Genomic DNA, 15,470 nt, shown 5'->3' with positions numbered 1-15,470 from the left:
TTAAAGCATAACTTAAAAATAAAAATTGTATATACTTAAGATATACAAGGTGATTTCTTTCTTTCTTTTTTGAGATGGCGTCTCGCTCTGTTGCCCAGGCTGGAGTACAATGGCGTGATCTCGGCTCACTGCAACCTCCGCCTCCCAGGTTCAAGCAATTCTCCTGCCTCAGCCTCCCGAGTAGCTGGGACTACAGGTGCGCCACCATGCCTGGCCAACTTTTGTATTTTTAGTAGAGATGGAGTTTCACTATGTTGGCCAGGCTGGTCTCAAACTCCTGACCTCGTGATCCACCCGTCTCGGCCTCCCAAAGTGCTGGGATTACAGGCATGAGCCACCACGCCCAGCCTTTTTTTTTTTCTTTCTTTCTTTTTTAAATGAGACAGGATCGATCTCTGTAGCCCAGGCTGGAGTGCAGTGGTGTGATCACGACTTTACTGCAGCCTCAAACTCCCAGGCTCAAAGTGATCCTCCCGCCTCAGCCTTCCAAATAGCTGGGACTCTAGGCGTGCACCACCATATCCTGTCAATTTTTAAATTTCTTTTTTTGTGGAAATGGGGTCTCATTGTGTTGCCCAGGCTGATCTTGAACTCCTGGGCTCAAGCAATCCTCCCACCTTGGCTTCCCAAATTGCTGGGATTATAAGTGTGAGTCATTGTGCCTAACCTACAATATGATTTTTAAAATACATTGTGAAATGATGATCACAATCAAACTAATTGACACATTCATCACCCCATACAGTCACCTGTTTATGTGTGTGGTGAAAATATGTAAGGCCTACTCTGTTAGCAAATTTCCAGTATATAATACAGTATTGTTAACTACAGTCAGTCACCAAGTTTTACATGAGGTCTGCAGAACCTATTCATCCTATAGCTGCAAGTTTGTATCCTTTGACCAATATCTTCCCATGTCCCTCCTTCCCCCTGAATCCCTGTGGCCACCCTTCTCTCTATGTAAATTTGGTTTCATCAAAAGTCATTTTACATGTATTCAACAAGGGTAGGATGAGTGTCTACTATAGGGAAGATATTGTGCTCAAAATGTGGAATCTGAAGATGGAAAGCCACAGTTTCTGCCCAACAGAAGGTTTAGCATGGTGGAAAGACAGTTGAGTAAACATTTACCATCGAGCTCATGGAAGGGAGGTACTGAATTCAATAGGATCCCACACAGCCTAGAGTTTGCCTCAGAAGTCTTCACAAAGGAATTCATGCTGGAGAAAAACTGAAGAAGACCTGTCAGAAATCACCTGATTTGAAAAGAAAAAATGTTGCAGTAGAAAGGGTGGGGAGTGGGGAAAGCAAAGTCAGGCTGGGCACAGTGGCTTATGCCTGTAATCCTAGGACTTTTGGAGGCCAAGTGGGGAGGATCACTTGAGCCCAGGGTTTCAAGACTAGCCTTGGCAACATAGTGAGACCACATCTCTACAGAAAATTAAAAAAAAAAAATTAGCCAAATGTGGTAGCAGGCATTTATGGTCCCAGCTACTCAGGAGGCTGAGATGGGAGGGTCGCTTGATCCCGGGAGGTTGAGGCTACAGTGATCTATGATGGAACCATTGCACTCGGGAGCCTGGGTGACATAGTGAGACTCTGTCTCAACAAAAAAAAAACAAAAAGCAAAATCACCCTTTTAACCAGATAACCTTGCAAGCTTATTAGCCTTTGAATTTAAGGAAAAGCTTGGTAAATGATTGCAGAATCATTTATATCCCCTGATATTATTTTATAAACCATCTCTAATTTTCAAATCAACCACAGCTTTTTCATTTATGGAATTAATCTAAAGCTGTTCCAAGCCTTAAAATGAATTTAAGGCCGGGTTCAGTGACTCACACCTGTAATCTCAACACCGAGGTTGGAGGATCACTTGAGCCCTGGAGTTCAAGGTTACAGTGAGATCTGCCCAAGCTACTGCATTCCAGCCTGGGTGATACAGTGAGACCCTGCTTCTAAAAAATTAAAAAATAAAAGAATTCAAGTATAAATATCTTTAGCAGGAAAGAAAACCTAGCAAGTTTCATTAGCACTGGGAGCGTTATCTTTCTTCTCCTTGGGTGTCAGAAGCGTGAGAACAGTAAATACTATGTAATTCAAAAATACATTTGCTTCAATTTTCTTTGGCCTTCAAATCCAGCTAACATTGAGCTGATCAGAAGTTAACTTCCATTCTTAAAGTGGAAGCACATCTTTTGATCTGATGTTTTCTTCTAAAAAAGGGGTTTGGCTGGGCGGACAGTGGCTCATGCCTGTAATCCCAGCACTTTGGGAGGCTGAGGTGGAAGGATTACCTGAGGCCAAGAGTTCAAGACCAGCCTGAGAAACAGGGCAAGACCCTCTCTCCAAAAAAAAAAAAAAAAAAAAAAATTAGCTGGCCATGGTGGTGTGGGCCTGTAGCCCCAGCTACTTAGGAGACTGAGGTGGGAGGATAGCTTGAGTCCAGGAAGTTGAGGCGTCAGCCAGCTGTGATCGCGCCACTGCACTCCAGCGTGGGTGACAGACCAAAACTCTATCTCTAAAAAGGGGGGCTTAATATGCTTTTTTTTTTTTGGTTTGAGACAGAGTCTCCCTCTGTCGCCCAGGCTGGAGTGCAACAGCATGATCTTGGCTCACTGCAACCTCTGTCTCCCAGGTTCCAGTGATTCTCGTGCCTCAGCCTCCCAAGTAGCTGGGATTACAGGTTCACACCACTCTGTCTGGCTAATTTTTGTATTTTTAGTAGAGATGGAGTTTTACCATGTTGGCCAGGCTGATCTCTAACTCCTGACCTCAGGTGATCTGCCCACCTTGGCCTCCCAAAGTGCTGGGATTACAGGTGTGAGCTACTGCCCCCGTCTAATCTTCTTTTTATCCGGATGAGGGACTAGTGTATTAAAAGCATAGAAAATGGAGAATATGATTTATTTTTTAAAAATTCAAAGATTTATATATTTCTGGAATGTCAAGTTCAGGAGAGGAGATAAAACTGGGCTGTAACTGAGGATAACTTTGAGGAACATTTTATACCTCATTAAAAAGTTGAAATTTCACCCTGGTTGGCTGGTAGGTAACTATGGAAAACTTTTGGCAAGAGTCTGAAATGATCAATTTTATCTACTTATAAAGCTCCTCTCAATGGCAGCCCAGAGGACGGATTGGAGAGGACCAGGAAGATCATAAACAGTCAGTATCAGGCTGGGCCAGGTGGCTCATGCCTGTAATTCCAGCACTTTGGGGGGCTGAGGGAGGTGGATCACCTGAGGTCAGGAGTTCGAGACCAGCCTGGCCAACATGGTGAAACCCCGTCTCTACTAAAAATACAAAATTAGTCAGGCGTGGTGGTGCTTGCCTGTGGCCCCAGTTACTCGGGAGGCTGGGAGAATCGCTTGGACCCAGGAGGCAGAGGTTGCAGTGAGCCAAGATCGCACCACTGCACTCCAGCCTGGGCGACAGAGTGAGACTCTGTTTAAAAAAAAAAAAAAAAAGTATCAATTACAGAGTTACTGTCTCTGAGCTCCAAACGCACCATCCTGTGCCCTGCTTTGTGATGCTGGGACAAGCAAGCCACATTTCTGCTTTGCCAGATGGTTCTATGTTAGGCTCTGGCAAGACAGTTTGCTAGGAGACTGCAGAAGTAGGGTAATCAACTCGTCCCACTTTCCCCAGATCTTTCCCATTTTTAGCACTGAAAGTTCTGCATCCCGGAACCCCTTCCACGGGGGCTGGTCACCTCCAGGAGAAGGGACTTTTGCTTCCTGTCTGCCTGCTTTTTTCGTGAGTGTTACCCCAGCAACACTTCACTTCAGAAGCAGCATCAGCAATTCCTTCCTGTGGCAACCACGGTAAAAGTTCGTGCCCAGTTTCCTCCTCTGTCTCTTCTCCTAACTGACTTGGGCTCCCTCGTGTGGTCCCCCATGGAATCATATGCCCCTTCCTCTTGGGAACTGTGAGTAACAAACTGTCTTTTCCATAGCAATCATCTCCTCATCTGTTACCTCAAAATTTCTTTCATTTTCTTTTTTTTCTTTTCGAGACGGAGTTTTGCTCTTGTTGCCCAGGCTGGAGTGCAATGGCACGATCTTGGCTCACTACAACCTCTGCCTCCCAGGTTCAAGCAATTCTCCTGCCTCAGCTTCCTGAGTAGCTGGGATTACAGGCACCCACCACCACATCCAGCTAATTTTTGTATTTTTAGTACAGACGGGGTTTTACCATGTTGGCCAGGCTGGTCTTGAACTCCTGACCTCAGGTGATCCACCTGCCTTTGCCTCCCAAAGTGCTGGGATTATGGGCATGAGCCACTGCGCCTGGCCTCTCTTTTTTTTCCTTTAGAGACAATGTCTAGCTCTGTCACCCAGGTTGAAGTGCAGTGGTACAATCTCGGCTCACTGTGGTCTCCACTGCATGGGCTCAAGAGATCCTTCCACCTTAGCCTCCTGAGTAGCTGGGACTACAGGCATGCACCAACATGCCTGGCTAATTTTTGTATGTTTTGTAGAGATGTGGATTCACTGTGTTACCCAGACTGGTCTTGAACTCCTGGGCTCAAGCAATCCTTCTGCCTCAGCCTCCCAAAATGGTGGGATTACAGACAGGAACCACTATGCCCAGCCTCAAATTTTCTATTAGTATTACATCTTTTTTTTTTTTTTTTTTTTTGAAACTGAGTCATGCTCTGTTGCCCAGGCTGGAGTGCAGTGGCACGATCTCAGCTCACTGCAAGCTCTGCCTGCCGGGTTCACTTCATTCTCCTGCCTCAGCCTCCCGAGTAGCTGGGACTACAGGTGTGTGCTGCCACGCCCGGCTATTTTTTTTTTTTTTTGTATTTTTTAGTAGAGACAGGGTTTCACCATGTTAGCCAGGATGGTCTCGATCTCCTGACCTTGTGATCTGCCCACCTTAGCCTCCCAAAGTGCTGGGACCGCGCCTGGTCTACGTGATATTTTAAGACAGGAGGGTAAGCACTGAAAACCATTTGGCAATTAAGTATTGATTATTTGGGTGAGAGTGGTGAAGTTACTATTTTAAAAATAGCTTTCCAGCTTCTACAGTACTCCAGGGCACAGTAGGCAGGCCTTGGGAGTAGATGCAGGGCATCCGTTCTCCATATCCACGGTGGAGGGGCAGGGCCCAGTTACCACTGATTTTGCAGAAGATTAGTCGAGCTGAAGTACCAGAGGCAAGCTTGTTCAAGGGCTGTGGCTGGAGGGTTAGATGCTTGGCTGATGAAAAATTGATGCCACAAGAATTCAGGAAAATGGGACTTAGTAGTCTAAGACAGGGATTCCCAACCCCCAGGCTATGGACTGATATGGGTCCATGGCCTGTTAGGAACTGGGCTGCACGGCAGGAGTGAGCAGCAGGTGAGCCAGGGAAGCTGAGCTCCGCCTCCTGTCAGATCAGCGGTGGCATTAGATTCTCATAGGAGCGTGAACCGTACTGTGAACGGTGCAGGCAAGGGACCTAGGTTGCTCGCTCCTTATGAGAAGCTATTGATAAATGTAATGTCATTGAATCATCCCAAAACCATCCCCCCATTCCCACCTCACCCACCCTACCCATGGAAAAATTGTCATCCACAAAACTGGTCCCTGGTGCCAAAAAGGTTGGGGATCGGTGCTCTAAGATGTCAGGGTTTAAAGAATCAATTAATTTGGCTGGGTGCAGTGGCTCACACTTGTAATCCCAGCACTTTGGGAGGCCGAGGCAGGTGGATCACAAGGTCAGGAGTTCGAGACTACTGCGGCCAACCTGGCGAAACCCCGTCTCTACTAAAAATACAAAAATTAGCCAGGCCTGGTGGCAGGCGCCTGTAATCCCAGCTACTCTGGAGGCTGAGGCAGAAGAATCACTTGAACCTGGGAGGCAGAGGTTGTTGTGGGCCTGAAGAGGGTTTTCTTTCTAAATGGTAAGGCAAAACTTTATGTGGAGAAGACTCTAGATGTTTCTAGATGTTTGCCCTTCACTTCCTGCCGGAGACGTGGATGTGCAACCTGGAGATGCAGGAGTTATTTTGCAACGAGGAGGAAGAAAGACACAGGGTTGGATGATGAAGCAGGAGCAGAGGAGCACATCTTATTTTTATTTTTATTTTATTTTTTATTTTTGTTGTTAAAAAAGACAGAGTCTCACTCTATCACCCAGGCTGGAATGCAGTGGCATGGTTATAGCTGAGTTCAGCATCGAACTCCTGGGCTCAAGTGATCCTCCCACCTTGGCCTCCCAAAGTGCTGGGATTATAGGAGTGAGCCGCTGCGCTGGGCCTGGGAGCCTATTTTATCAGCCTATGGTTGTAAAATAAAACATATATACAGAAAATGACACCAAATTGTTGGGTGTGGAGGTATGTGCCTATAGTCTCAGCTACTTGGGAGGCTGAGGTGGGAAGATCACTTGAGCAGAGGCAGTTGAGGTTGCAGTGAGCTATGACAGTGCCACTGCACTCCAGCCTGTGGAACAGAGTGAGATCCTGTCTCCAGAAAAAGAAAGAAAAAAGGAAGGAAGGAAGCCAGCTACACCAAACGAAAGTCTACCTTAATGAGATAAGACAACAGCCTTTTAACTTCCACTTGCTTCAAGAACAGAACATTGCTGGGCACCCCAGGAACCCCGCCGTGTTCCCCATTGCAGTCCTCTCCCTGCTCCCCTGGGTAGCCACTGTGCTGTCTTTTTTTTTTTTTTGACGGAATCTTGCTCTGTCACCTAGGCTGGGTGACAGTGGCGTGATCTCGGCTCACTGCAACCTCTGCCTCCCGGATTCAAGCAATTCTTTTGCCTCAGCCTCCTGAGTTGCTGGGACTACAGGTACGTGCCACCAGGCCTGGCTAATTTTTGTATTTTTAGTAGAGCGGGGTTTCACCATGTTGGCCAGGTTGGTCTTGAACTCCTGACCTCGTGATCTGTCCACCTTGGCCTCCAAAGTGCTGGGATTACAGGAGTGAGCCACCACTCTCAGCCTGTGCTGTCTTTCATAGCAATCACATTTCCCAGTTCCTTCTGGTTGTCACCCCAATGTGCACCCCTATTATGTTTTGTGCCCTCCAAAGTTTCTACATTGAAGCCCTAACCGCTTGTGTTATGTTTAGCTGTCTTTGGAGCTGATTCTCTAAGGAAGTATTAATAAAGTTAAATGGACATTCTTTAGGGACCCACAGAAAACCTCTGATTCCTAGAGGCCTGGGTTTTAAAAAAAATGTATTTTTTTATTTTTATTTTTCAGAGACATGGTGTCACTCTGTTGCCCAGGTTGGAGTGCAGTGGTGCAATCATAGTTCACTGCAGCCTTGACCTCCTGGGCCCAAGAGATCCTCTTGCCTCAGCCTCCCAAGTAGGTGGGACAACAGATGCATGTCGCCACGCCGGCTAATTTTGTTTTTTATTTTTTAGAGATGGGGTTTTGCTGTGTTGCCCAGGCTGGTCTTGAACTCCTGGCCTTGAGTGAGCCTTCCATAAGGACTTGGTTTTTAGGCTCACCTGAGCCAGAAAAATGGTTCCAGGCAGCCTTCCTCTGGACCTTGAAAAATAGGCATAAAATTAATTTCTTATAGGTTTCAGCTAGTGTTCATCAGGTTAAAAAAAATTTTTTTTTGTTATTGCAGCCAAAAGCATTCCTTCCTGATAACAGCTTATAAAAACTGTCCATCAGCCAGGCGTGGTGGCTCACACCTGTAATTCCAGCACTTTGGGAGGCCAAGGTGGGCAGATCACAAGGTCAGGGGTTCGAGACCAGCCTGGCTAACATGGTGAAACTCCGTCTGTACTAAAAATACAAAAATTAGCCGGGCATGGTGGCACGTGCCTGTAGTCCCAGCTGCTCAGGAGACTGAGGCAGGAGAACCACTTGAACCTGGGAGGTGGAGGTTGTCGTGAGCCGAGATCGAGCCACTGCACTCCAGCCTGGGCAACAGAGCAAGACTTTGTCCCAAAAAACAAAAAACAAACAACCTGTCCATCCAGGCAGCCTGATTCAGGCCTGGGTTAACCATTGAATGTGTTTGCCTTTCATAAACCTCAGCCTCATCTCTGTTCTGACCACGTCCTCACTGGCTCTATTAAGGGACACATATCCAGAACTGGTCACACTAATTCTAGTATGGTCTCGGTGTGAGTGGGATGGCTCATCTTTGATGAATTTCCTGATCTGAGCCGGAATCTTTGAGCACAGTGGCTCTCCTTTCCTTTCCTTCCACCTAATAGCTGAGGCCTTGGGCAGGCAGCTTCCACTCTCTGCGCCTCAGTTTACTCATCTTTAAAGTGGGGTTAATAACTTCGCTTTGGGATTGGCTTGGTCAACACCCTTCCAACCCCCTTCAAGCATGACTCCCTATAATGGTGGGATTGAAAAGCCCCCTTTGCAGCTAGATGTGGCTTTGTTTCTGTGTCCGCACTAAAACCGCGTAAATGGAAATGTTTGCACAAGTTCCAGTAATTCACATTGCAAGGGAGATGCCATGCCCTTCTTCCTTCCTTGCTTTCATTGCCTGGAATTTACATGTGATGTCTAGAGCTCAAGCAATTGTCTTGGGTCATGAGGCAATGTGCTAGACGTAACAGACAGTAAGTAGAAGTCAAGGTAATTCGACTTCCTGCCCCTAGGCTTTTTGCTTTATTTATTTTTATTTTAGTTTATTTTATTTTTTTCAGACGGAGTTTCACTCTTGTTGCCCAGGCTGGAGTGCGATGTCATGATCTCAGCTCACCACAACCTCTGCCTCCTGAGTTCAAGTGATTCTCCTGCCTCAGGCTCCCGAGTAGCTGGGATTACAGGCATGCACCATCACACTCGGCTAATTTTGTATTTTTCGTAGAGACGGGGTTTCTCCATGTAGGTCAGGCTGGTCTCCGACTCCCGACCTCAGGTGACCCGCCCGCCTCGGCCTCCCAAAGTGCTGGGATTACAGGTGTGAGCCACCGTGTTTTATTTTTAGGAACAGCTCTAATAAGATAGAATTCACATATTATAAAATCCACCAATTTAAAAGATACGATTACTTAGTTTTAGCATTGAATTGGGTCATTCTTGCATTGCTATAAAGAAATACCTGAGACTGGGTAATTTGTAAAGAGGTTTAATTGGCTCACAGTTCCGCAGGTTGAACAGGAAGCATGGCAGCGTCTGCTTCTGGGGAGGCCTCAGGAAACTTACAATCACGGCAGAAGGCAAAGGGGTTGCCAGCGCTTTACATGGCCAGAGCAGGAGGAAGAGAGATGGGGGAGGTGCTACACATACACACTTTTAAACAAGCAGATCTCAAAATAATAACTCACTATCACGAGAACAGGACTGAGGGGATGGTGCTAACCCATTCATGAGAACTCCACCCCCCGATCCAATCGTCTGCCACCAGGCCCTTCCTCCAACACTGGGTATTACAACTGGACACGAGATTTGGGTGGGGACACAGATTCAAACCATATCAGGCATATTTCCAGAGTTGTGCAACCATTACCACAGTCAATTCCAGAACATTTTCATCACTCCAACAAGAAATTTTTTTTTTTTTTGAGACGGAGTCTGGCTCTGTTGCCCAGGTTGGAGTGTGGTGGCATGATCTTGGCTCACTGCAACCTCTGCCTCCTGGGTTCAAGTGATTCTCCTGCCTCAGCCTCCCAAGTAGCTGGGATTACAGGCACCCCCCACCATACCTGGCTAATTTTTGTATTTTTGGTAGAGACAGAGTTTCACCAGGTTAGCCAGGCTGGTCTTGAACTCCTGAACTCAGGTGATCTGCCTGCCTCGGCCTCCCAAAGTGCTGGGATTACAGGCGTGAGCCACCATGTCTGGGCTCCAACAAGAAATTCTGTATCTGTATCCATTCAGTCACTCCCTAATCCCCCAAGTCGTTCAGTCCTAGGTAACCACGAATGTAGTTTCCATCTCTGTATATTGGCCTATTCCAGATATTTCATATAAATGGAATGATATATTGTGTGGTCTTTTGCCTCTTCTTCTGCTTGGCATGTCTTTGTGGCTCAGTCATGTTGTAGTATGGATCAGTACTTCATTCCTTTTTGTGGCTGACTAATATCCCATTGTGTGGGTGTACCACATTTTAGTTTCTAACCAATTAAGCATATCCTGAAAAATGCCATTCTGACAAAAAGAACTACTCACGGTGGCTCACGCCTATAATTCTGATACTTTGGGAGACTAAAGTAGGTGGATTGCTTGAATCCAGGAGTTGGAAACCAGCCTGGGCAACATGGTGAGACCCTGTCTCTACAAAAATTACAACAATTAGCTGGGTGCGGTGATGCGCCCCTGTAGTCCCAGCTATTTGGGAGGCTGAGGTGGGAGGATCACTTAAGCCCAGGAGGTCGAGGCTGCAGTGAGCCATAATTGCGCCACTGCACTGTAGCCTGGATGACAGAGTGAGACCCTGTATGAAAAAATAAAAACAAACAACAACAACAACAACAAAAGTGCACAGACAGTTCTGGGTCAGATCTTGGCACACAGTATTATCGGGATGTGATTACTATTAGGGATTGTTTTTATTTTCTGAAAATTTTCTTTTTTCTCTTTTAGTTTGAGACTGTTTTACTCTGTTGCCCAGGCTGGACTGCAGTGGCATGATCTCGGCTCACTACAACCTCCACCTCCTGGGTTCAAGCGATTCTCCTGCCTCAGCTTCCCGAGTAGCTGGGATACAGCTGCGTGCTACCACGCCCGGCCAAGTTTTGTTTTTTTTGAGACAGAGTCTTGCTCTGTTGTCCAGGCTAGAGTGTGGTGACGTGATCTCGGCTCACTGCAACCTCCACCTCCCAGGTTCAAGCAATTCTGCTTTAGCCCCCTGACTAGATGGGATTACAGGCACCTGCCACCATGCCCGGCTAATTTTTTGTATTTTTAGTAGAGACAGGGTTTCACCATGTTGGCCAGGCTGGTCTTGAACTCCTGACCTCAAATGATTAACCTGCCTTGGCCTCCCAAAGTGCTGGAATTACAGGTGTGAGCCACTGCACCCTGTACCTCCACCACCTCCTGAGTACCTAGGACTACAGGAGCGTGCCACTACACCTGGCTATTTTTTTAATTTTCAATTTTTTTTTTTTTTGTAGAGAAGGGGATCTCACTATGTTGCCCAGGCTGGTCTCAAACTCCTGGTCTCAAGCCCCTCAGACTTCTGCCTCGGCTTCCCAAAGTGCTGGGGTTACCGGCTGGGATTTCAGAGCCCTGAAACATCCTTATAACAATATTATTGACTTATGATTATAAAAGTAATTCATGGTAGTTGTTGAACATTTGGAAACTACGCACCAAACAAAAACAAAAAACACCCAAGTGGAAAATAAAAATCATTGTTAATTTCATTCCGATTGAGACGAATTTAGTATGTCCAAGAAAAATGAGAATGAAAGATGACGGGGGATATCCCAGGATCCACAGAGCTGTGTCGTTGATCCCAGACTGTACTGTTTATGGGGTGGATCCTGCCAGCGTCCCTGTGGGGGCAGCCTTCACAAAGAGCAGGGCGCTGTGCTCTCCCTCCCACCCCACTCCCTATGCGTGGAAGGGCTGAAGGATGGGTTTCCCACAAGAGAGCAGCTACTCCTTCGGGAGGGTAGGAATCGGGGCGCGGGGAGAACGCAGCAAGCCCACGCTCCCTCCCAGACCTTGCCAGCTCTGCCTTGAAGTCTCCTCGGACTCCTCCAAACCTCTGCAGACTCCGAAGGTGTTGGTCGTTGGCCGAAGGGCGGAGGTGTAATTCTTCCAATCCTACCCTGTGCCAGGGCTCTGCGCCTGGGCGGAAGTGTAATTCTTCCAATCTCACCCTGCGCTGGGGCTCTGCGAAGCCCTGACCCTAGTCACCAAGGGTTTCCCACCAGTCCCAGGCAGCCCTGCAGGAGTCAGTTTTATAAGACCTAGACCCACAAGAGACGTCCTCCAAGCCCGCCTGTTAAAGGAGTCACTGTTTCTGAAGAGCCAGCTCTCAGTGATTTCACATCTGGGAGGCTCCAGGGTTTCAGGAAGTGTGAGTCATGATAGAAAGTTTGTGCAGATCTAAATTATACCGAGAAAGACAAGAATAAGACTGGGCATGCTTCCCTAATTTTTTTTTTTAAATCAGGGTGAGGTGGGGGCCCTGTGCCTTAAACTGGGGTTGTATAGGTTGTGCACTGCACAAATTTGTTTGACCCAGGAGGCATGTGGAGGCTGAAATGCAACCTGTGCCCTTTCACCAGCCACACATCCTGGTGTGGAGCTGTGTCTACCCAGAGGAAGGGAGGACAGCCTTTTCCTAATTTGCACAAAGGCATGTAACAGGGGAGCTCAAGGGTCCTGAACTGGCAGTTCCAGTAGCCTTCTCTGACTTCTGGCTGGACCTACGTCCTAAGTAGCACCCATAGGTCCACGTAAGGTCTGAGACCTGAAGAAATAAAACAGCCAACAGAATGGAATCAGACCACACTTTGAGACTGTGGTAGGCTGAATAATGTGGCCTCCAAAGTTTCCATGTCCTGGCTGGGTGCAGTGTCTCATGCCTGTAATGCCAGCAGTTGGGAGGTCGAGGTGGGAGAATCACTTGAGTCCAGGAGTTCAAGAGCAGCCTGGGCAACATAGTGAGATCCTGTCTCTACTAAATAAATAAATAAGTCATGTGTGGTGGCACGCATCTATGGTCTCAGCTACTTGGGAGGCTGAAGTGGGAGGATCACTTGAGCTTGGGAGTTTGAGGCTGCTGTGAACTGTGACCGCACCACTGCACTCCAGCCTGGGCAACAGAGGGAAACCCTGTCTCAAAAACAAAACACAACAAAAAAGTTTGGGCACGGTGACTCACACCTGTAAGCCCAGCACTTTGGGAGGCCGAGGCAGGCGGATCACCTGAGGTCAGGATTTCGAGACCAGCCTGGCCAACATGGTAAAACCCCATCTGTACTAAAAATACAAAAATTAGTCAGGCATGGTGGTGGGTGCCTGTAGTCCCAGCTACTTGGGAGGCTGAGGCACGAGAATTGCTTGAATCCGGGAGGAGGAGTTTGCAGTGAGCTGAAATTGCACCACTGCACTCCACCCTGGGCAGCAGAGTGAGACTCAGTCTCAAAAAAAACATGGCTGGGCACAGTGGCTCATGCCTGTAATCCCAGCATTTTGGGAGACCGAGGCAGACTTGAGGTCAGGAGTTTGAGACCAGCCTAGTCAACATGGTAAAACCCCATCTCTACTAAAAAACAAAAATTAGCTGGGTGTGGTGGCAGGTTCCTATAATTCCAGCTACTTGGGAGTCTGAGGCATGAGAATCCCTTGAACCCAGAGGTGGAGGTTGCAGTGAGCTGAGATTGTGCCACTGAGCTCCAGCCTGGGTGACAGGGGGAGACTTCATCTCAAACAACAACAACAACAAACAACAACAACAACAACAACAAAACAAAACCAAAAAACAAAAGAAAAGAAAAAGTTTCTCTTGCCCCACAAGGCTTGGCTAAGTATTAATAATAATTAAGAAGGTTTATACATCCTAATCCCTAGAACCTGTGAACGTTCCCTTATATGGCAAAATGGACTCTCAGATGTGATTAAGTTTGTTCAGTTGGGGAAATGATCCTGGGTTACCTGGGTGGGTCCTGAATAGAATCACAAAGATCCTTACAAGAGGGACACAGGAGAAGTTGGTCAGAGGGATGTCGATGTGACAATGGAAGCAAACATTAGAGGGATGCGGGTTTGTTTGTTTGTTTGTTTTTTGAGACGAAGTGCAGTGGTGTGATCTCAGCTCTTTGCAACCTCCGCCTCCTGGGTTCAAGCAATTCTCCTGCCTCAACCTCCTGAGTAGCTGGGATTGCAGGTGCTCACCATTACGTCTGGCTAATTTTTATATTTTTAGTGGAGATGGGGTTTTGTCATGTTGGCTAGGCTGGTCTTGAACTCCTGACCTCAGGTGATCCACCCGCCTTGGTCTTCCTAAGTGCTGGAATTACAGGCATGAGCCACCTCACCCAGCCGAGGGCCACTTTTGGAGAAGGAGGAGGGGGCCACGAGCCAGGGGATACGGGTGGCTAAAAAGACAAGGACATAAGGTCTTCCCTCAGTGCCTCCAGAAAGAATCAGCCCTGCCAACCACTTGACTTTAGCCCAGGGAAGCTGATTGCTGGCTTCTGACCTCCAGAACTGTAAGAGAATAAATCTGTGTTATTTCCTTTCTTTTCTCTTTCTTGTTTGCTTGCCCAGGGAAGCTGATTGTTGGCTTCTGACCTCCAGAACAGTAAGAGAATAAACTTCCTAACTTCCTTCCTTCCTTCCTTCCTTCCTTCCTTCCTTCCTTCCTTCCTTCCTTCCTCTCTTTCTCTCTCTCTCTCTCATTCTTTCTTTCGTCTCAAATCCCTGGGCTCAAGTGATCCACCCACCTCAGCCTCCCAAAGTGCTGGGATTATAGGTGCGAGCCACCTTGCCCAGCCAATCTGTGTTGATTTGGGGTTTGTGGGAGTTTTGCAGCATGGCCACTCAGTATGGAGTGCTTGGATCTGAGCTTCTCTGGTCCCTTGGCCTAGTAAGGCTCAAGATAGCTTTGCCCTGTCCTAAGTGTCTTACTTCTGTTAAAACAGTTTATTCTCATGACAACCTCTAGGAGGTAGGCATTGTCATATCTCAGTTTTATGTGTGTGGTCACAGAATCAGAGAGGTTAAGTGATTTGATTAAGGTCACGCAGCTAGTAAGTGAGGGAGCCAGAATATAAATCTAGACCATTTGAATCTGGATCAGAAGTTCTCCACGTTTGATCTCACTATAATCTTGTAAGTGAGCCGGGTGTGAAGGCTCACCTGGTACCTGTAATCCCAGCACCTTGGGAGGCCAAGGCAGGAGGATCACTTGAGCCCAGGAGTTCAAGGTTGCAGTGAGCCGAGATCACACCACTGCACTTCAGCCTGGCCAACAGAGTGAGACCCTGTCTTTAAAAAAAAAAAAAAAAAAAAAAAAAAAGGCCAGGCTTGGTGGCTCACGCCTGTAATCCCAGCACTTTGGGAGGCTGAGGTGGGTGGATCAACTAGGTCAGGAGTTTGAGACCAGCCTGGCAAACATGGTGAAACCCCGTCTCTACTAAAAATAAAAATTAGCCGGGCATGGTGGCATGTGCCTGTAATCCCATCTACTTGGGAGGATGAGGCTGGATAATTGCTTGAACCTGGGAGGTGGAGGTTGTAGTGAGCCGAGATCAAGCCACTGCACTCTAGCCTGGGTGACAGAGCAAGACTCCATCTCGGGAAAAAAAAAAAAAAATTCTTGCAAGTGGAGAGAGAATTGCAACCTTTGTGGCACCTTTAGACACTTCCAAAGCGTTTGTGTTTCATAGAGAATGCTTTTCTTTTTGATGTAAGTCTATTTCTTAACACATTAGAAAGAAAGAGAGTTTCCCGTGGAGGAGCTTTGTCATTGTCAGGAAATGCTGCATTTCAAGTGGTTTCACAGCTAGCATAACGTTGTAAAAGCAAAAATATATTCAAATTTATTTGACATTGCAGAGGCCCAAAATGGTGCTGATCA

General features: G+C 47.1%; 3 annotated features.

Moving 5' to 3' along the window:
* Positions 11,738-12,032: an enhancer, noted in NCBI's record as "tiled region #5792; K562 Activating DNase matched - State 20:ReprD". NCBI's record gives its function as "activates a minimal TATA promoter and a strong SV40 promoter by Sharpr-MPRA in K562 cells {active_cell/tissue: K562}" and the evidence as "EXISTENCE:reporter gene assay evidence [ECO:0000049][PMID:27701403]".
* Positions 14,412-14,461: an enhancer, noted in NCBI's record as "active region_14640". NCBI's record gives its function as "activates an Ori minimal core promoter by ATAC-STARR-seq in GM12878 lymphoblastoid cells {active_cell/tissue: GM12878}" and the evidence as "EXISTENCE:reporter gene assay evidence [ECO:0000049][PMID:35858748]".
* Positions 15,082-15,231: an enhancer, noted in NCBI's record as "active region_14639". NCBI's record gives its function as "activates an Ori minimal core promoter by ATAC-STARR-seq in GM12878 lymphoblastoid cells {active_cell/tissue: GM12878}" and the evidence as "EXISTENCE:reporter gene assay evidence [ECO:0000049][PMID:35858748]".

This window comes from Homo sapiens, chromosome 19, assembly GCF_000001405.40.
Source record: "Homo sapiens chromosome 19, GRCh38.p14 Primary Assembly".
NCBI lineage: Eukaryota > Metazoa > Chordata > Mammalia > Primates > Hominidae > Homo > Homo sapiens.
This window is presented reverse-complemented; position numbering and strand designations above follow the sequence as displayed.